The following is a 22,289-nucleotide window of genomic DNA, read 5'->3' as shown; positions in this document are numbered from 1 at the left end:
AAGGGTCACCCTTGTTACACCTTAGCAAAGAACGTAGCTGCACTGTGCCCATGTCCAAAGACTTTGTGAAAGTCTGAACTTAAGAGTGATGATATGAAAAACTACAAAACAACATTGAAACAAATTAAGATCTAAATAAGTAGAAAGACATCCTGTCTTCATGGGATTAGTATTTTCATCTTAAGATTGTGTACAGATTCACTACAATCCTCACAAAATTTAGTTGGCTGTTTTTGTTGGAAACGTTGAGAAGCTAATCCAAAAATTTATATCAAAATTTTGAAGTCTTCCAAGGACAAAAAAATTTTTTTTAAATCCAAGGAACTCAGAATAGCTAAAACAATCTTGAAAAAGGGAGACAAAGTTAAAGGATTTACATTTCTTGATTTCAAAACTTACTACAAAGCTACAGTAATTAAGATCAGGTAGTACTGGCATAAGGATAGACATGTAGATCTATATCCATATGAACAGAATTGAGAATCCAGAGATAAACTTATACATTATGGCCAACTGATTTTTGACAAGGGTTCCAAGACAATGCCAAAGGGAAATAATAATATTTCCAACAAACACTGCTGAACAACTGGTTATCCCTACATCCAGAGGAATAAGGTGGACCCCTGCCTCACACCATATACAAAAATGAGCTTAAAATGAATCAAAGACATAAATGTAAGAGCTAAAGCTATAAAAATCTTCAAAGAAAATATAATCATACATCTTTGTCATGTGGAATACTCAATGGTTTCTTAGATATTACACCAAAAACACATGCAACCTCCAAAAAATAGGTAAATTGGACTTCATCAAAATTAAAAATGTTTGTGCTTCAAATGACACTATCAAGAAAATGAAAGACAATCTCCAGAATAGGAGAAATATTTGCAAATCATATATGATAAGACAGCGGTCCCCAACCTTTTTGGCACCAGGGACTGGTTTTGTGGAAGATAGTTTTCCACGGATGGAAGTAGGGGGATGGTTTCAGGATGAAACTGTTCCACCTCAGATTGCATAATCTAGATCCCTCACATCTGCAGTTCACAATAGGGTTTGCACTTCTATGAGAACCTAATGCTCCCGCTAATACAACAGGAGGCAAAGCTCAGGCGGTAATGCGAGCTTACCAGCTGCTCACCTCCTGCTGTGCCAGTACTAGTCTGTGACCCTGGGGTCTGGGGACCCCTATGATAAGGAACTAACACCTAGAATAATACATAACTCTATTGTTATATAAGTCAGTGGTAAACTACAAATATCTTTAACGAAAATGGGCAAAGGATTTGAATAAACATTTTTTCCAAAGAAGACATACACATGGCCAAGAAGCACATGAAAAGAGGTTCAACCTCACTGATTATCAAGGAATTGAAAATCAAAACCACAATGAGATACCACTTTACACCCACTAGGATGGTTGGAATAAAAAAGACAATAGCAAGTGTTGATGAGGATGTGAAAAAGTTGGAACCCTCATACATTGCTGGTTGGGAATGTAAAATGGTGCAGCCATTTTGAACAGTGTGGAAGTTCCTCAAAAAGTTAAACATACAGTTACCATGTGACTCAGCAATTCCAATCCTATGCAGATACTAAAGACAAGTGAAAACATAAGTTCACACAAAAATTGTACATAAATGTTCATAGCAGCACTATTTATCATAGCCAAAATGGAAACACTCCAAATGTCCATCACTGATTAATATATAAACAAGATATGCAGCCTGGGCAACATAGCAAGACCCCATCTCTATGAAAAATTTTAAAACAATTAGCCAGGTGTAGTGGCATGTACCTGTAGTCCTAGATATTCAGGAGGCTGAGGCAGGAGGATCTCTTGAGCCCAAGAGTTCAAAGTTACAGTGAGCAATGGTCATGCCACTGAACTGCAGCCTGGGCAACAGAGGGAGATACTATCTCCAAATAAATAAATAAATAAATATAAACAAGATATGCTATATTTATTCAATGGAATATTATTCAGCCATAAAAAGAAGTACTGATATACATTTCAACGTGAATAAACCTTGAAAATATTATGCTAAGTGAAAGAAGCTAGGCACAAGAGGCGACTTACTGTATGATTCTATTTATATAAAATGTTCAGAAGAGGCAATTCCATAGGGACAGAAAGTAGATTAGTGTTGTCAAGGACTGGGGGAAGGGAGGAATGTATACTGACTGCTAATGGGTGTGGGCTGTTTTTGGAGGGTGACGAACTATCTGGATTAGATAGTGACAATGGTTGCAATCTTGTGTATGTAACAAAAACATTGTAAATATGCTAAAACATTTAATCATACACTTTATAAGGGGGAATTTTATAGTACGTGAATTCTATGTCAATTAAAAACTAACAGTTGGCCATATTAGTGTTAGTCTACTCTTGAACTTGATTCCCTTCCATCTATTTGTATGTCTGCCCCTCTGCCATATCATGCTATCTTGATTACAGTAGTTATATAAAACCTCTTAAAATTGGGTAGGGTGAGTCCTCCAACTTTATTCTTTACCTTCAAAACTTTAAAAAAATAGCTATTCTAGAGCCTTTGCTTTTCCATGTAAATTTGACAACCAGCTTGTCTCCATCTACAGAAAATCCTGTAGTTACCTGGTTGATGGTGCTGTTCAGTTCCTCTATACCCTTGCTGATTTTCTGTCGGGTGATTCTGTCAATTACTGTGAAGAGTGTTAAAATGCCTGACTATAATTGAGAATGTGTCTACTTCTTCTTTCATTTCTGTCATTTCTTTTGTTTAGTGCATCCACATTTTTGATTATATCTTCTTAGCGAATTCATCCTTTTATCATGATAACGTTCTTCTTTGATTCTGGTAATTCTCTTTGCTCTGAAGTCCACCTTATTTTCTAATAATGTAACCATTCTAGCATTCTTTTGATTAGTGTTTTCATTGTCTATACTTTTTTATTACTTCTTTTTTTTCTCTTCTCCTTTCTTGTTTCTTCTTTCTTCTTGTATAAATTTAGGGGGTACAAGTGCAGTTTTGTCACATGAATGTATTGTGTAGTGGTGAAGTCTGGACTTTTAGTGTAACCATCACCAGAATAGTGTACATACTCATTAAGTCATGTCTCATCTCTCACCTCCCTTCCACCCTGTCAAGTCTCCACTGTCTATTATTCTACACTCTATGTCCATGTGTATACATTATTTAGCTGTTACTTATAAGTGTGAATATGCCATATTTGACTTTCTGCTTTTGAGTTATTTTACTTAAGATAGTAAGCCGGGTGTGGTGGCTCATGCCTGTAATCCCAGCTCACCCTGTAATCCCGGGTGACAAGAGCAAAATTAGCTGGGTGTAGTGGTATGTGTCTGTAGCCCCAGCTACTCAGAGGCTGACATGGGATGGTTGCTTGAGCCTGGGAAGTGGAGGCTGCAGTGAGCTATGATTATACCATTGCACTCTAGCCTGGGCAACAGAGGAGCCCCTTTCTTAAAAAAAAAAGGAAAACGGGAAAAGAAAGCCAGGCACGGTGGCTCACGCCTGTAATCTCAGCACTTTGTGGGGCCGAGGTGGGCAGATCACCTGAGGTCAGGAGTTTGAGACCAGCCTGGCCAACATGGTGAATCCTCAACTCTACTAAAAAAATACAAAAATTAGCCGGCCACGGTGGTGTGTGCCTGTAATCCCAGCTACTCAGGAGGCTGAGGCAGGAGAACTGCTTGAACCCGGGAGGCAGAGGTTGCAGTGAGCCAAGATCCTGTCACTGCACTCCAGCCTGGGTGACAGAGCAAAACTCCGTCTCAAAAAAAAAAAAATATATATATGTATATACACGTATATACACGTATATACGTGTATATACGTATATACACGTATATACGTGTATATACGTATATACACGTATATACACGTATATACGTGTATATATGTATATACACATATATACATGTGTATGTGTGTATATATATATAGATATAAAAATGATATCCAGTTCCATGTTGCTGCAAATGACATGATTTTATTCTTTTTTTATGGCTGTTGGGAAAAGGGCTTGTGGGGTGCCTGCATAAACTGGCCATAAAAATATGGGACAATAAGTTGTGGAAAGCCACAAGAGGCCTCTGAGGAGGAAAGTCTTCTAATTGCCATAACGTTCCCATGACCAGAGCGTGACCTGCTCTCTTATCTATAAACACTGTGCTCAAGGAGAAAGACACTCCTTTGAAGCATTGGAATGTGGCCAGATATGCCGGCTCCTAGTTATGCCCACTCCCGATAGCTGCTCTCCAATAAGTTAAAGAATAAATCAGTAGTTAAGTTTATGCTGCTTCAGCACAAAGAAAATTTACCTAAACCGCCATTGCTATAGATTAGGTGTATGTCACACCGCCCCCCGCTTTCACCGTTTCACCCCTGAACATCTGCTTCTTAGATCTAAGTGACTGTACTCAATAAATAGTGTGGAGACCAGAGCTTGGCACCTTCGCAGCCTCTGATTTGTTCTGGCCCCCTGGCTCCCACCTTTATGAACTCTTAACCTGTCTCTTCTCATTCCTTTGTCACCACCGGACTTTGGGTACCCTACGGGTGGTGTTGGGGTTGGTCCCCAACATATGGCTGAGTAGTATTCCTGTATATACACATACATATATGTGTGTGTGTGTGTATAAAACATTTTCTTTATTCAATCATCCTTTGATAGACACCTAGGTTGACTTAGGTTGATTCCATATCTTTTCTGCTGGAAATAGTGCTACTACATACATACAAATGCAGGTACCTTTTTGATATAATGATTTCTTTTCCTTTAGGTAGATACCCAGTAATGGGATTACTGGATTGAATGGTAGTTCTATTTTTAATTCTTTGATAAATCTCCATACTGTTTTCCATAGAGGTTGTACTAATTTACATTCCCACCAACAGTATATAAGCATTCCCTTTTCTCTGTATCCTCGCCAACATTTTTTTTTCTTTTTTCTTTCTTTTTTTTTTTTTTTACAATTTATTTATTTTGAGACAGAGTTTCGCTCTTATTGCCCAGGCTGGAGTGCAATGGCACGATCTCGACTCACTGAAACCTCCGCCTCCGAGGTTCAAGCAATTCTCCTGCCTCAGCCTCCCTAGTAGGTGGGAGTACAGGCATGTGCCACCATGCCAGGCTAATTTTGTATTTTTTTAGTAGAGACAGGGTTTCTCCGTGTTAGTCAGGCTGGTCTCAAACTCCCGACCTCAGGTAATCCACCCGCCTCGGCCTCCCAAAGTGCTGGGATTACAGGCGTGAACCACTGTGCCTGGCCTTTGACTTTTTATTAATAGGCATTCTGACTGGTGTAAGCTGATATCTCATTTTAATTTTCATTTCCCTGATGAGTAGTGATGTTGAGAATATTTTCATATGCTTGTTGGCCATTTGTATGTCTTTGTTTGTCAAATGTCTGTTCATGTTCTTTGACTGCTTTTAGTGGGGTTATTTGGTTTTTGTTGTTGTTGTTAAGATGTTTGAGTTCTTTGCATATTCTGGATATTAGTCCGTCAGATGCATAGTTTGCAAAATATTTTCTCCTATTCTGCAGGTTGTTATTCACTGCGTTATTTTTCTGCTGTGCAGAAACATTTTAGTTTAATTAAGTCTCATTTGTCTATTTTTGTTATTGCTGTATTTGCTTTTGAAGTCTTAGCCATGAATTCTTTGCCTAGACCAATATCTAGAAGAATTTTTCGTAGGCTTTCCTTATGTATATTTATTTTATACTTCGGTTAATAATGTACTATTATATTTTTTATTTTCTTGGTCAAATTGTTCTAGCTTTGGCCATTAGGAATTCTTTCAGCTGGCTCCTGTGTCTCTATAACATACCCCCATCACTTCTTTTTACAACTTCTTAGTTTTTGTCACTACTTGTTTTCAAACTATTTATATTGTTATATTTGGAATGAGTTCGTTGTAGATGGCTTATGGTTGGGTCATGTTTTCTTTAGATTCATTCTGTTTGGTGTTCACTCAGCTTCATGAATCTCCCTTTCCGTATATTGCTTTTTTATTCTGTTGTGTCCTTTGATGCACAGAAGCTTTTAATTTTGATAAAATCAAATGTGTCTATTATTATTTTAAAATTTTGATTGACATATAGTAATTGTATGTATGTATGGGGTACATAATGATGTTTTGACAGGTACAGTGTCCAATACATAATGTATAAAGATCAGATAGGGTAATTACCATATCCATTATCTCAAATATTTATCATTTATTTGTGTTGGAAACATTCAATATCCTCCTTCTACTTATTTGAAACTATATATTATTGTTAACTAATATATAGTCATACCACAGTGCTACAGAACACTAGAACTTATTCCTTTTATCTAACTAGTTGTAATTTTGTATCCTTTAACAAATCTCTCACTATGTACCCCCCCTTCTCCACTACAAGTATGTTCTGTTCTACTTTTTACTTCTCTGAGATTAACTTTTCTTGGCTTCCACATGTGAGAATATGTGATGTTTCACTTTCTGTTCCTGGTTTATTTCACTTAACATACTATCCTCCAGTTCCATCTATGTTGCAGTGAATGACAGGATTTCATTCTCTCTGAGGCTGAATAATATTCCATTATATATATATACCACATTAAAAAATTCATTCATCTATTGTTGGACACCTGGGTTGATTCCATATCTTGGCTGTTATGAATAGTGCTGTGCTGCAATAAACATGGGGATGAAGATGTCTCCTCAACATACTGATTTCCTTTCCTTTGGATAAATATCCAGTAGTGACAGCACTGGATCTTATGGTAGTTCTAGTTGCAGTTTTGTGATGAATGTCCATACTGTTCTCCACAGTGGCTGTACTAATTTACGTTTTCATCAACAGCATATTAGAGTTTTCTTTTCTCCGCATCCTTGCCAGGATTTGTTATTTTAGCCATCCTAACTGGGATGAGATTATACCTTATTGTAGTTTTGATTTGCATTTCTGACAATTAGCATCATTGAGTACTTTTTCATATGTTTCTTGGCCATTTGTATGTCGTCTTTTGAGAAATGTCTTATCTAGATCATTTGCCCATTCTTAAACTGAATTGTCGTTTTTGTTTTGTTTTGACTGTTGAGATGTTTGAGTTCCTTGTGTATTCTGGATATTAATCCCCTGTTGGATGAATGGCTTGCAGATATTTTCTCAGATTCTGCAGGTTGTCTGTTCACTGTGTTATTTCTTTTGCTGTGCATAAGCTTTTTAGTTTGATATAATCCCATGTGTTTATTTTTGCCTTTGTGGCTGTGTTTTTGAGGTCTTACTCATAAAGTCTTTTCCCAGACCAATATCCTGAAGCACTTCCCCTATGTTTTCTACTAGTAGTTTTATAGTTTTTTGTGTTACTTTTAGGTCTTTGATCCATTTTGGGTTGATTTTTGTATAAGGTGAGAGGTGGAGGTCTAATTTCATTTTTCTGCATATGGATATCCAATTTTCCCAGCACTATTTGTTGAAGACATTGTCTTTTCCTCAGTAAGTGTTCTTGGTGCCTTTGTCAACAATCAGTTTGCTATATATATGTGGATTAATTTCTGGGTTCTCTATTCTGTTCCATTGGCCCACGTGTCTGTTTTAAGGTCAGTACTATGCAGTTTGTGTTACTACAACTTTGTAGTAGATTTTGAAGTCAGGTAGTGTGATGCCTTCAGTTTCGTTCTTTTTGCATAGGATTGCTTTGGCTATTCAGAATCTTTTGTGTCTCCACATTGTTTTTAAATCTTTTTTTCTATTTCTGTGAAGAATGTCATTGGCATTTTGATAGGGATTGCATTGAATCTGTAGATTGCTTTGGGTAGTATGGTCATTTTTTTTTTTTTTTTTTTTTTTTTTTTTGAGACAGAGTCTCACTCTGTCACCCAGGCTGGAGTGCAATGGTGCAATCTCGGCTCACTGCAACCTCTGCCTCCCTGGTTCAAGCTATTCTCCTGCCTCAGCCTCCCGAGTAGCTGGGATTAGAGCTGCCTGCCACCGTGCCCGGCTATTTTCTGTATTTTTAGTAGAGACAGGGTTTCGCATGTTGGCCAGGCTGGTCTCAAACTCCTGACCTCAGATGATCCACCTGCTTCGGCCTCCCAAAGTGCTGGGATTACAGGTGTGAGCCACCATGCCCGGCACAGTATGGTCATTTTAACAATATTAATTCTTGTACTCCATGAGCATGGGATGTCTTTCCATTTATTTGTATACTCTTCCATTTCTTTTATCACTGTTTTTTAGTTTCCTTGTGGAGGTCTTTCACCTCCCTGGTTGGATTTATACCTAGGTATTTTATTATTTTTTATTTTTTGTAGCTATTGTAAATGTGATTGCCTTTCTTTTTCAGCTAGTTTATTGTTCAAATATAGGAACACTACTGATACTTATATGTTGATTTTGTATCCTAAAACTTAACTAAATGTATCAGTTCTAAGAGTTTTTTGGTAGAACCTTTAGGTTTTTCCATATATAAGATCATGCCATCTGCAAATAGGGACAATTTGACTTTCTGCTTTCCAATTTTGATACCCTTTCTTTCTCTTGCCTAATTACCCTGGCTATTATTACATTTGTTGCCTATGTTTTTAGTGTTACATGAAGAAGTCACTGTCAGGCCAGGTGCGGTGGCTCATGCCTGTAATCCCAGCACGTTGGGAGGCCGAGGCAGGCAAATCATGAGGTCAAGAGATCGAGACCATCCTGGCCAACATGGTGAAACCCTGTCTCTACTAAAAATACAAAAATTAGTTGGGCGTGGTGGCATGCGCCTGTAGTCCCAGGTACTTGGGAGGCTGATACAGGAGAATTGCTTGAATCTGGGAGGCAGAGGTTGCAGTGAGCCGAGATCATGCCATTGTACTCCAGCCTGGCAACAGAGTGAGACTGTGTCTTAAAAAAAAAAAAAGAAGTCACTGTCAAACCCAATATTATGAAGCTTTTCCCTTATGTCCTTATGTTCTCCTCTAAGAGTTTTATAGTTTTAGCTCTTTCATTTAGGTTTTCTTTTTTTTTTTTTTTTTTGAAACAGAGCCTCCCTCTGTTGCCCACGCTGGAGTTCAGTGGCGTGACCTCAGCTCACTGCAACCTCCACCTCCTGGTTTCAAGTGATTCTCCTGCCTCAGCCTCCTGAGTAGCTGGGATTACAGGCATATGCCCCAATGCCCAGCTCATTTTTTTGTATTTTCAGTAGAGACAGGGTTTCACCATGTTGGCCAGGCTGGTCTCGAACTCCTGACCTCAAGTGATCCGCGGGCCTTGGCCTCAAGTGATCCTGCCTCAGCCTCCCAAAGTGCTGAGATTACAGGTGTAAGCCAGTGCACCTGGTGTAAATTTGGGTCTTTAATCCATTTTGAGTTAGTTTTTCCATATGATATAAGGGGTCAATTTTTTCATTTTCTTGCATGTAGAGCTCTAGCTTTCTCACCATCATTAGTTAAAGAGACTGTCCTTTCCCCATTGAATGGTCTTCATAATTTTTTTAAAAATCATTTGATCAGGTATGTGAAGATTTACTTCTAGGCTCTCCATTCTATTCCATTGGGCTGTCTGCCTTTATGTCAGTACCACACTTTTTTGATTACTATAGCTTGTGGTAAGCTTTAAAATCTGGACGAGTAAGACCTCCTCCTTTTTTAAGATTGGTTTTGGCTATTTAGGGCCTCTTGAGAATCCACATTGGTTTCTGAATAATTTTTTTTTCTAATTCTGCAAAAAAGAAATCCCATGGAGATTCCATTAAACCTTTAAATTGTTTTCAGTAGTATTGACATATTCAAAATATTAAGTCCTTCAGTCCATGAACACAAGATGTCTATTTATTTGTGTCTTTCTTTCAGCAACATTTTTTAGTTTTCAACCTATGAGTCTTTTGCTTCCTTATTTACTCCTAAGTATTTTATTCTTTTTGATATTATTGTAAATGGAATTATTTTCTTAATTTCTGTTTCAGAGTGCTCATTGTTAGTATATAGAAACTATTGATTTTTGCATATTGATTTTGAATCTTGCTACTCTGTTTATCTTGTTTATTAGTTTTAACAGTTTTTTGTGGCATATTTAGGATTTTCTACATATATTATCATGTTGTCTCTAGACAGAGATAGTTTTTTCTTTCCAATTTGGATGCTATTTATTTATTTACCTACATTCATTTATTTATTTATTAGACGGAGTCTCACTCTGTCACCCAGGCTGGAGTGCAGTGGTGCGATCTCGGCTCACTGCAACCTCCGCCTCCCGGGTTCAAGCGATTCTCTTGCCTCAGCCTCCCAAGTAGCTGGGACTACAGGTGCGTGCCACCATGCCCGGCTAATTTTTGTATTTTCAGTAGAAATGGGGTTTCGCCATGTTGGCCAGGCTGGTCTTGAACTCCTGACCTCAGGTAATCCACCTGCCTCAGCCTCCCAAAGTGCTGGGATTACAGGCATGAGCCGCTGTGCCCGGCCTATTTATGTATTTATTTATTTATTTTTCTAATTGCTTTGGCTAGGACTTCCAGTATTATATAAAATAAAAGCGGCAAAAGTGAGGATCCTTGACTTGTTCTTGATCTTAGAGGGAAAGCTTTCAATCTTTCACCATTGAATGTAATGTTAACTGTGGGCTTTTCCTGCATGGCCTGTATTATGTTGAGGTGGTTTTCTTGTATTTATAGTTTGTTGAGTGCTTTCTTCATTAAAGAGTGTTGAATTTTGTCAAATGCTTTTTCTGCATCAATTGAGATTATCGTCTCCTTTTACCATTTCTTGAAGAGAATAGTGAAATAACTCCCATTACCATAATCATACTAGTCTTTGTGCTGTGATGTTATGCACAAAATGGTGCTTCATAAAGCATTTGATAATTGTACGACAGTCTTATGTGTGGGAAGATAAGTAAAATTTAGTCATGTAAAAGTCATTATGCAGTTATTGATTTGGCAAAAAAAAAAAAAAAAAGAAAAAAAAGAAAAAAGTCACTAGTCCAATAAAAAGGCATTTGCTTTGAAACTTTTCTTGAACCTCAAACTAGCTAGTAAAACTTGACAAAGTGGAGCCGTGTGTGGTGGCTCAGGCCTGTAAGTCCAGTACTCTGGGAGGCCAAAGTGGGAGGATCCCTCAAGCCCAGGATCAGCCTGGGCAACATAGAGAGACCCTGCCTCTACAGGCGTGGTGGTACGTGCCTGTGGAAAAAAGTGCCAGTTTTTCCAAGGGGTTGTATGAACTTGCACTCTTAGCAGCAGTGTATGAGAGTTCAAGTTGCTCTTTGCTAGCATTTGGTATTATCTATCTTTTTCATTTAAACTATTCTAGTGATTACAATAACACTCTGTTGTGGTTTTAATATGAAATTCCCTTCTAGTCAGGGAAGTTAAACACACATATTGCAAAATTTATTGGCTGTTCAGGAATCACCTTTTGCGAAGTGTCTATTCCAGGTTTTTCTAATTTTTTTTTTGTAAGATTGTCTGCTTCTTCTTCAGTGTTATAATAAAAGTTCTCTATAAATTCTACATGTGAGTCCTTTGTCAGATATATGTATTACAGTTCTCTTTTGCCTTTCTGTGGCTTTCTTGTTCACTCTCTAATGGTATCTTTTTTTTTTTTTTTTTAATTTGAGATGGAGTCTCACTCTGTCACCCAGGCTTGAGTGCAGTGGCGTGATCTTGGTTCACGGCAACCTCCACCTCCTGGATTCAAACAACTCTCCTGCCTCAGCCTCCTGAGTAGCTGGGATGACAGGTGCATGCCACCATGCCTGGCTAATTTTTGTATTTTTAGCAGAGACAGGGTTTCACCATGTTGGCCGGGCTGGTCACGAACTCCTGACCTCAACTGATTCTCCCATGTTGGCCTCCTAAAGCGTTGGGATTACAGGTGTGAGCCACTGTGCCTGGTCTCTAATGGTATCTTTTGATGAATAGATATTCTTAGCATTGATGAAGGCCAATTTCTCATTTTTGTTTTTCTTTTAGTGTATTCTGTAACCTAAGGATCTTGAATTAATCCAAAGCCATTAAGATATAATTTTCTTCTAAAAGCTTCATTATTTACCTTTTATATTTAGATTGCAGTCCATCTGGAATCAATTTTGTGAATGGTGTGAGACTGGGGTCAATATACATTATTTTCCCCTTATGACTTCTCAAATGACCCAGCACTATTTGTGAAGACCATCCTTTCCCTACTGTATCTTTTTTTTTTTGTTTGTTTTTTTTGAGACCAAGTTTTGCTCTGTCGCCCAGGGTGGAGTGCCTTGGCACAATCTCGGCTCACTGCAACCTCCGCCTCCTCCATTCAAACGATTCTCCCGCGTCGGCCTCCTGAGTAGCTGGGACTACAGGCCGAGTGCCACCATGCCCGGCTAATTTTTGTATTTTTCGTACAGGCAGGGAGTTTCGCCATGTTGGCCAGGCTGGTCTCAAACTCCTGATCTCAAGTGATCCGTAGGACTCGGCCTCCCAAAGTGCTGGGATTACAGGCCTGAGCCACCATGCCCAGCCTATCTTCGCCAGTTTTAATGCTAAAAACTATTCCATTCTATGGCACTCCCTTAACTTAACTTAGCCATTTTTCCATCTGGGTATTTGGGTTGTTTTCAGATCTCTGCTATCATCAAACAGGAGGAATACTTTGTATGGACATCAAGTCATTCTTCTGCAATTATTAACCCAGAAGTGAAATTTCTAAGCTAGAAAATATTTGCTTTTTTGGAAAATTAATAAATTATATTCAAAACTCAAATAATGTAAAGAGACCCAGTGAAAAGTCTGCCTCCTATTCTGTCCCCCTGTCCTCCCAGTCCCTCTTCCACCAGGTAACCACACTCAGGAAATCTTGTGTATCTTTCCAGATATCTTGTAATGGATGTACAAGCATTATTTATATTCTTTTCTCCTTTTGTTTACACAGCCAGTGGTACTCTATGCATTCTGTCCTGCATCTTGCCTTTTTCATTTAACAACCTATTTTAGAAATCTTCCCATTGCTGTACATAAAAAGATTTAATACCTCATTTGAAGGAGGCACCACAATGATGGACATCTGTGTTGTTTCCAATAGTTTGCCGTTGAAACAACGTTGCAATGGAATAACTTTGTACATGTCATTTCACATGTGTAAAAGGTGTCTATTGGGGAAATTGCTAGAAGTGGCTTTGCTGAGTCTGAGGGTCTGTGCATTTGTGATTTGATCAACATCGTCAAATTATACTGCCACCAGCAATGTATGAAAGTGCTTGTTTTCCCGTAGCTTGGTCAATGAACTATTAGACCTGAGATCTTTAGCCATCCAATATGTGAAAAACTGTAACTTTAGTTTGCATTTGTTTATTGTATGTGAAGTTGAGCATCCTTTCAGAAGTTTAAGGCCTACTCTGTCCTGTCTGGGTCAGAGTATGCCCTTTTATTTTATTTTTAGTTTTAGTTTTTGAGACAGAGTCTCGCTCTGTCACCCAGGCTGGAGTACGGTGGCGCAATCTCGGCTCACTGTAACCTCTGCCTCCCGGGTTCAAGCGATTCTTCTGCCTCAGCCTCCTGAGTAGCTGGGATTACAGGAGCACGCCACCACGCCCGGCTAATTTTTTTTGTATTTTCAATAGAGACGGGGTTTCACCATGTTGGTCAGGCTGGTCTCGAACTCCTGACCTGATGATCCGCCCGCCTCAGCCTCCCAAAGCGCTGGGATTACAGGCGTGAGCCACCGTGCCCGGCCCTCAGAGTATGCCCTTTTAAAAATCTGTGGGTACACGTAGCCAACTGACATTTTAAGACAAGAGGACCCACAGACCCTCTTTCCACAACGCAGCCCGGGACCTGTCTGTCTGCATCAATAGTGCCTGGCTTTCGGAGCTAGAAAACAGCACCTGCGCGTGGTCGAAGCCTGAACCTCTACTTACAGGTGCGGAGCTTCCGGCTTGCCAGGGGAAGGAGCCCGCCCCTCCCGGCTGCGTGCACCAGCGCAGCTAGTCACGTGACGCCGGGGGCGGGGGCAGATAGGAGGTGCCTGCTGTCATCGTTCCGTGGGCCCTGCTGCGGGCACGCTCTCGGCGCATGCGTTTTTTATGCGGGATTAAGCTTGCTGCTGCGTGACAGCGGAGGGCTAGGAAAAGGCGCAGTGGGGCCCGGAGCTGTCACCCCTGACTCGACGCAGCTTCCGTTCTCCTGGTGACGTCGCCTACAGGAACCGCCCCAGTGGTCAGCTGCCGCGCTGTTGCTAGGCAACAGCGTGCGAGCTCAGATCAGCGTGGGGTGGAGGAGAAGTGGAGTTTGGAAGTTCAGGGGCACAGGGGCACAGGCCCACGACTGCAGCGGGATGGACCAGTACTGCATCCTGGGCCGCATCGGGGAGGGCGCCCACGGCATCGTCTTCAAGGCCAAGCACGTGGAGGTGAGGCTGGACCGCGGCCGGCAGCCTGGCGGGGGTGTGCCCCCGCCACCCTCCGGCTAACGCTCTAAACTGTTTCGGTTCCCTTTTTACATCCAGTACAGTTTTTAAAACCTACTCATATTCTAAACCTACTTTGGGCCGTTGCGCTTCCCTCCGCACAGCTGGCTTGGTCCCCTACCCCAGCGGCTGGGTCCCAGGCTAGTCCTAGACCCCCGAGGAGGGCCTCTGGCCGAGCCGGGGGCGCGTGTCTCTCTCTCAACCACCTTCCCCTCACCCACCTTCATCTCTCTTTCCCAGCCGAGGGTGGGCTGGCAGTGTCTGCCTTCTATCCTGCAGACTGGCGAGATAGTTGCCCTCAAGAAGGTGGCCCTAAGGCGGTTGGAGGACGGCTTCCCTAACCAGGCCCTGCGGGAGATTAAGGCTCTGCAGGAGATGGAGGACAATCAGTATGTGAGTAGGGGAGGGGGGGCATGGTATTCTCACCCTCAGTCGCTCGTTCCCACTTCTTTGTGCCTTCATTTTCCCAGCTACGCCTTCACCAGCTTTCAGGGATTTCCTCCCGCTGTCACTCACACACACTGCTCATTCATCTGCCTCCTTACCCCCTTTTGCCCTTTTTTGTCCACTTGTTCACCTTTATTTACCTATTTCTTTCATTTCTCACACATTCACTCTCATTTGCCTACTTATTTCTTAATGTATTCATTCATTCACCGACTTTTTTTCTCAAAACATGTAGTGATTTATAATGTAACTAGCACCTATTGAGCTCCCGATGTGTTCTGCAGGCATTATATACATTGTCATTTTGAGACCTCTTTACTACTGTACAAGGCAGGTTTCCAGATCTCTGTTTCTCAGGTGAGAGGAGGAGGTTATGTCACCAGCTCTTGGGCCCTCCGTTAGTCAGTAGAGGGTTTGGCCCAGGTTTGATTGAGAGTCCATTCTTCCCTTGGGACCTCCCATAGGCTCTACCCTGTGTTGGGCACTGGTGACACAGAGAAACCAGCTCCAGCCCAGCTCCTGAGGACTTAAGTGTGCTAACAAGAGACAGAGGCAACAGGGCCCACCTAGTGTGGTTCGTGCTGTGATAGGGTACCGGGAGGGGCTGCTGGAACACGAAGAGGGGCATCTTTCACCCCTAGTGTCATTACTCTTTTGGTGCTCTCTCTCACCCATGTCGAAATAGGGAATGTATTTGACTCCCTGGAGAGTTAACAGGGTTGGGTCTCTGTGATCTGGAGATATGCATGATATATTGGATGACAAAAGCATGTTATAAAATTTTGTGTCATCTGGGTTTTGTTTGGAAATATTATATATGTGAATGTGTATTTGTGTGTGCCATATCTGTTGTAAAGTCTGGTAGAATACACTCTAAGATTGACTGTAGGATTTTTCTTTTGTTCTTTTTCTGTTGGATTTTATGTCTTACCTGAATGTGTGCATGTGTTTTGATCTGTTAAATGGTTGTGTACTACCTGAAAAATCCGAAAACAGCAATCAGGCCATTTTGATTTTTTGAGGAAGATAAAAGGGCTTCCAGACAGCCATGTGTGGGATAGGTGGAGAGATCCATAAGGAAGCTGGTGATATGGTCCCTACATCCAGTTGGTCAGCAATTCTGAAGGTTCTAACTTTAAAACATACTCTAGATTTGCTCCTTGCCCAAGTCATCATCACCACTCATCAGAATGACAGTGGCAGCCTCCCCACTGCTCTCCATAGCCACAGTCCGGAGGGCTTTGTCAAAAGTGTAAGTTAAGTCATCGGCTCCCCTGCGTAAAAAGCCCTGGTGGCTTCTCTTCACACTTAGAGCACTATCACCATGTGCCCACCTCCAGCTGGCCTCTCCCTTTTCTCTCATTCAACACAACTTCTTAGGCATCTCTCCAGTGACCAGCACCTATCTAGGGTCCAGGAGCACAGAACAAGGCAGACACATCCTTCCCTTAAACAATCTCATGTACTCACATCCCTCTAGCCTCCTTCTGTGCTGGCGTTAGGGCCTTGCACTTGCTTTTCTTCCTGCTCAGAGCTTTATCCCAGATCCCCACAAACTGGGTCCTCATCTAGCCCCACCCCACCTAAATAAAGAAGTATCCTTTTCTCCACTCACAGAATCACACTATCCTCTTCTAGTTCTGTTGATTTTTTTTCTTTTTTTGATACAGGGTCTCACTCTGTCACCCAGGCTGGAGTGTAGAAGTGCGATTTTGTCTCCCTGTAGTCTCAACCTCCTGGGCTCAGGTGATCCTCCCACCTCAGCTTCCCAAGTAGCTAGGACTACAGGCACGTGTCACCATGCCTGGCTAGTTTTTTGTATTTTTTGTAGAGACAAGGTTTCACCATGTTGCCCAGGCTGGTCTCAAACACCTGGGTTCAAGCCATCCGCCCACCTTGGCCTCTCAAAGTACTGGGATTACGGGCATGAGACGTCATGCCCAGCCCCCTTGTATTTTGGTTCCTGTACTTACAGAATCTGAATATATCCCTTTTATTCATTTATTTGTTAAACTGTTTGTCCTTTGTGCTGTGAGTTCATTAAGAGTCCTGTCTCTCAGCTCACTCTCTGTGTAGCCTGGCTCCTCTGACAGTACTGGCCTCAGTGTTTGTGATGTGTCTGTAGCTGTCCCAGCACTGGGAAAGGTGGGATTCCTGGTGTCCTTTCCTTGGTGCTGGGATTCGGTGGTTCTAGAGGAAACAGGAGGAGACCTGTCCATCTCATGTGTGACCATCCAGATGATTTTCAGGCGGGTAGGCTGGGTGGGCGGACCAGATGGTGCCACTAAATGACCTTTTTTAGACCTTTTAGTGTTCATGGAGAATTAGAGTGGGGGCACACCTTATCTCAGGAGAGCAGAGCAAATCATGAGCATCGAGCTCTCTGATTCTTAGCTCAGGTCCACGTCACCTTCTTTGCTTACTGTCTTTTTGGATACAGGGTCCTCTGTCAGGGCATGGGCTGGGGTCTCAGGGTCACAGAGAGGGTCTGGTGACTTGAGTCTGGGGGCTAACAAGATGTCCTGCCCACAGGTGGTACAACTGAAGGCTGTGTTCCCACACGGTGGAGGCTTTGTGCTGGCCTTTGAGTTCATGCTGTCGGATCTGGCCGAGGTGGTGCGCCATGCCCAGAGGCCACTAGCCCAGGCACAGGTCAAGAGCTACCTGCAGATGCTGCTCAAGGGTGTCGCCTTCTGCCATGCCAACAACATTGTACATCGGGTCAGTCTCAGCATAGGCCGGGCATGGGGTCTGGGGAGCTGACTTGGCTTGGGGATGGGGCTAGCCCTTGTAAAAGGTGTGATAAGAAGTTGGGACAGAGCTGGTCAAGGCCTCCAGGTAAGTGGCCAGGGCATGGCCCTGGAGGAGGTGGGGACCGGGGCTGACCTGAGTGGTTAGACTGCCAAGCCCGCTTGTCCCAAGGTCCTATGGGGGATTTGGAGGGACTGATGCTTCTTTTGGTACTCCCAGGACCTGAAACCTGCCAACCTGCTCATCAGCGCCTCAGGCCAGCTCAAGATAGCGGACTTTGGCCTGGCTCGAGTCTTTTCCCCAGACGGCAGCCGCCTCTACACACACCAGGTGGCCACCAGGTAGGGAGGGCCAGATCCCTTCCAGTCTTCTCCATGGGGAAGAGATGCTTCTGGGCCTTTTCTCCAGACATTGCTTGTGGGGCTGGGGTCACCTCCCCAGGCATCCTTTTCTCAGCCCAGTGCCTGCCAGCCCTCTTCCTCGCAGGTGGTACCGAGCCCCCGAGCTCCTGTATGGTGCCCGCCAGTATGACCAGGGCGTCGATCTGTGGTGAGACCCCTGTGGGTGGTCAAAGGGTAACATGGCTCATGGATTTCTGCTAGGCTCTGAGGTCTCTGAGCTGTTTGGTGGTCTTTTCCCTGGTGGGAGTTTAGGCTTCCTTAAGGGTGTCTTCCCTGGTTGGGGTATTCTGAGCACTTTGGGGTTGGGGTTCCTCACTATGATGTTTTCGAGCTGGGTAGGGGCCAGGTGGGATGAGAATGGTGGTCCCAGGTGGGAAGCTTTCTGGGCTAGATGGGGAGGTGGTCTGAGCCGATATGTGCTGGAGTTAGATCCTAGGATATGGCATCTCTGAGCTGGTCAGAGGCCTGTGTCCTTGGACATGAAAGCTCTGAGCTTGTTTTGCAGCAAGAAGATAGTTGGCAGTGCCCATGGGTCTGAGATTTGGGGCAGGTTTGCAGGTCTGCCCCAGAAGTGTCCTAGAGCAGGAGTCTCCGAGAAGTCTTGGAACAGCTGGGGCTTTGCTCTGGGTTCTAGGGTTGAGGGCTTTGAGGGTTCAGGGACTGGGCCTCTGGACGTGAGGCTCCAGGGCTGGCTTGTGGGGCCTTGCCCTGGAGTGCAGTGTTAGAGCTGCTCTGTGGGTGGGTCTGTGGTCCATGGTGGGAGATCTCTGACCTGCTTGGGGCTCTGTGTCCACAGGTCTGTGGGCTGCATCATGGGGGAGCTGTTGAATGGGTCCCCCCTTTTCCCGGGCAAGAACGATATTGAACAGCTTTGCTATGTGCTTCGCATCTTGGGCACCCCAAACCCTCAAGTCTGGCCGGTTTGTAGGGGCCCTTGGTGAGGTGGGTGTGGGGCAGGTTTACTCCACTCCCAACAGCAAGTAACCACTCCCTCCCCTGAACCTTCTCTCTCCTGGCCCCAACCCCCCTTGATGGACAGGGACCACTGTCCTGGCCCAACTCAGGGCTTCCTCCTTCCTGCTGTCATTTGGGTTGGGGTAGATCCTGTCCTTTGTCCCTTTTCACCCCAGTACACACATGTGCAGTGTCTCAGCAAGCTGTGCACAGAGTCGTCATCTGAGAGGGCAAGGGGATGGATGAAGGAATACAGGGGTGGGTGAGTGAATGAATGATGGGTCAGGGAGACACATGGATGGGAGAGCACCCCCCATGTGAGTGTGTGTTAGGGGCTGAGAGTTGACAGCAGAGAGCATGGCAAGGGTCGGGAACTACTCTCATTGTACCCTGTTCCTTCTCCCTGGCCCAGGAGCTCACTGAGCTGCCGGACTACAACAAGATCTCCTTTAAGGAGCAGGTGCCCATGCCCCTGGAGGAGGTGCTGCCTGACGTCTCTCCCCAGGCATTGGATCTGCTGGGTCAATTCCTTCTCTACCCTCCTCACCAGCGCATCGCAGCTTCCAAGGTAGGGGGAGAGGCTGTAGTCTCTGCTCCTTCAGCTCCCCTCCCCATCACCCTGGTACTCTGTACTTGGTAGCCATGTGACCCCATCACATCAGCGACCCTCAGAACCTGTGATTGGCATGGACCAGCACCAGACATCTGGAACCCAGGGGACAGGGGCCTTGGAGCAGGTGTGCCTCTCATGAGTAGACCCCACTGGACATCCCCAGACTTCCCCTGAGGGTGGCCCATACGAGGGGCATGCCCAACTCTCAGGAGAGCGCGTGTCCGGGAGTGCAGGTTTCTGGGCTGCCCCTGACCCTGTGGCAGATACAGTAAGAGAGTCACTGGGGACTCATTCCTTTATTCCATTAGCAAGTATTTTCTGCACATCTGGCACATGCAGGGATTGTCCTGGGCCCTGCACAGATGGTAAACAATCAGTCCTACCTCCGCGGGGCACTCCTGGTGGTGAGGTAGCTCCAGGTCCAAAAGGTCACAAGAGGTCATGTTCTCCAGCTGTGGGAGCCCCAGGAGAGAGGCAAGGCCGACTTTGGGGTCAAGCAAAGCTTCCTGGTGGAGGGCAGGTTTAAGCATGAGATGTTTGAGGAGGTGTTCGCTGAAGAGAGAAATGGTGGGCAGAGGCCTGGAAGAGAGGACCCAGGAAGGCTGGTTATGGCTGGTAGGCCTGGGAGGACGATGACCACAGGAGCATGGGCTGACAGGTGTCAGGGTGTCTCTCAGGGGTCCCTGTCCCCTCCCTGCACTCAGCACCAGCCGCGTGTGTTTACATACGCCCTCTTGGTCTCCACTGTCAGCAGCTCCTGTGGGCTCTGTGTCCACAGTGTACCCAAGCCGTGTGACCCTTATCTCTTGGGTTGCCTCCCAGAATCTGGGTCTCCCCTCATCCCATTTAATCTCTTCTCCACCTGGCAGACAGAGTAACTTTATCCAAGTAGAACAGGACACATTCCTTCTCTGCCAGGGCCCTCCTGTGGCTCCATCTCAGAGGAAAAGCCAGGGTCCTTTTTGTGACCCACAGATGTCGTATGCTTGGGTGCCATCACCTCATGACGCTGCCTGCTGTTGTGCCCTGTGCTCACTCCTCTCCAGCCCCAGGGGTCAGTACACTTTTGTCCCTGGCCTGGAGCCTCATGTCCCACTTGCTTATGTCTCAAGTCTTGGCTTAAATGTCACTTCTCAGATGGCCTTCCCTCATGACTCTTCAGATCTGCAACCTCTCTCCAGGATTCCTCATTCCTCTGTCTTGCTTTCTCTCTTCCACTGCACTAATCATTATCTGACATACTGTGTATTTTACTTCATCTTGTTTATTACCCCCCACCCTCACTTATGTCAGAAAAACAGAGCTTTTGTCTGTTTTATTAACGGCTATGTTCCCAGCTTCTGGAATAGTGCTTCAGACATAGTAGACACTCAGAAAACACCCAGACACACTGAGTCAGCTGAATGCATAGATGAAGGAACATCTGCTTGAGGCTGGGGACAGGGAGGTGACTAGTTTCCTTCTGCTGTTCCTTACTTGCCACCCTCAGGCTCTCCTCCATCAGTACTTCTTCACAGCTCCCCTGCCTGCCCATCCATCTGAGCTGCCGATTCCTCAGCGTCTAGGGGGACCTGCCCCCAAGGCCCATCCAGGGCCCCCCCACATCCATGACTTCCACGTGGACCGGCCTCTTGAGGAGTCGCTGTTGAACCCAGAGCTGATTCGGCCCTTCATCCTGGAGGGGTGAGAAGTTGGCCCTGGTCCCGTCTGCCTGCTCCTCAGGACCACTCAGTCCACCTGTTCCTCTGCCACCTGCCTGGCTTCACCCTCCAAGGCCTCCCCATGGCCACAGTGGGCCCACACCACACCCTGCCCCTTAGCCCTTGCGAGGGTTGGTCTCGAGGCAGAGGTCATGTTCCCAGCCAAGAGTATGAGAACATCCAGTCGAGCAGAGGAGATTCATGGCCTGTGCTCGGTGAGCCTTACCTTCTGTGTGCTACTGACGTACCCATCAGGACAGTGAGCTCTGCTGCCAGTCAAGGCCTGCATATGCAGAATGACGATGCCTGCCTTGGTGCTGCTTCCCCGAGTGCTGCCTCCTGGTCAAGGAGAAGTGCAGAGAGTAAGGTGTCCTTATGTTGGAAACTCAAGTGGAAGGAAGATTTGGTTTGGTTTTATTCTCAGAGCCATTAAACACTAGTTCAGTATGTGAGATATAGATTCTAAAAACCTCAGGTGGCTCTGCCTTATGTCTGTTCCTCCTTCATTTCTCTCAAGGGAAATGGCTAAGGTGGCATTGTCTCATGGCTCTCGTTTTTGGGGTCATGGGGAGGGTAGCACCAGGCATAGCCACTTTTGCCCTGAGGGACTCCTGTGTACTTCACATCACTGAGCACTCATTTAGAAGTGAGGGAGACAGAAGTCTAGGCCCAGGGATGGCTCCAGTTGGGGATCCAGCAGGAGACCCTCTGCACATGAGGCTGGTTTACCAACATCTACTCCCTCAGGATGAGCGTGAGCCAGAAGCAGCTGTGTATTTAAGGAAACAAGCGTTCCTGGAATTAATTTATAAATTTAATAAATCCCAATATAATCCCAGCTAGTGCTTTTTCCTTATTATAATTTGATAAGGTGATTATAAAAGATACATGGAAGGAAGTGGAACCAGATGCAGAAGAGGAAATGATGGAAGGACTTACGGTATCAGATACCAATATTTAAAAGTTTGTATAATAATAAAGAGTATGATTGTGGTTCAAGGATAAAAA

The 22,289-nt window shown here is 44.3% G+C and overlaps 1 protein-coding gene and 2 long non-coding RNA genes across 20 annotated transcripts in view; 1 reads left to right on the top strand and 2 right to left on the bottom strand.

The window, feature by feature from the left end:
• Positions 1–14,560, bottom strand: part of LOC105376131 (uncharacterized) — a 20,559-nt gene extending 5,999 nt beyond the window's left edge. Inside the window, exon 1 of one of the 2 annotated variants that reach the window (XR_930089.3) lies at positions 14,491–14,560. This is a non-coding gene — a long non-coding RNA (uncharacterized LOC105376131). Of the gene's footprint in view, positions 1–13,867; positions 14,096–14,490 lie in introns of those variants that run through there. The other variant, XR_930088.2, reaches the window with a different exon arrangement.
• On the top strand, positions 14,197–22,289 carry CDK20 (cyclin dependent kinase 20). Of its 16 annotated transcripts, none has more exons than XM_047423121.1 (9): positions 14,197–14,358; positions 14,695–14,808; positions 17,395–17,583; positions 17,833–17,954; positions 18,100–18,162; positions 18,811–18,934; positions 19,381–19,536; positions 20,557–20,635; positions 21,071–22,289. In XM_047423121.1, the coding sequence occupies exons 1-9, from the start codon at positions 14,284–14,286 to the stop codon at positions 21,121–21,123; spliced, it is 975 nt and encodes a 324-aa protein (XP_047279077.1). In that variant the 5' UTR covers positions 14,197–14,283; the 3' UTR covers positions 21,124–22,289. The 16 variants fall into 16 exon arrangements, with proteins under 16 accessions (XP_047279077.1, XP_016870051.1, XP_047279076.1 ...); XM_017014562.3 differs by having other exon boundaries at positions 18,085–18,162; XM_047423120.1 differs by having other exon boundaries at positions 14,656–14,808; positions 18,085–18,162.
• Positions 19,863–21,598, bottom strand: LOC124902200 (uncharacterized). 2 transcript variants are annotated; one of them, XR_007061646.1, is made up of 3 exons: positions 21,508–21,598; positions 21,058–21,256; positions 19,863–20,160 (listed from the first exon to the last, which is right to left on the bottom strand). It is a non-coding gene; the product is annotated as an uncharacterized LOC124902200 (long non-coding RNA). The 2 variants fall into 2 exon arrangements; XR_007061647.1 differs by lacking the exon at positions 21,058–21,256 and having other exon boundaries at positions 21,508–21,596.

This window comes from Homo sapiens, chromosome 9, assembly GCF_000001405.40.
Source record: "Homo sapiens chromosome 9, GRCh38.p14 Primary Assembly".
Classification (NCBI taxonomy): Eukaryota; Metazoa; Chordata; class Mammalia; order Primates; family Hominidae; genus Homo; species Homo sapiens.
Note: the sequence above shows the minus strand (reverse complement) of the source record. Positions and strands in the feature narration are given on the sequence as shown.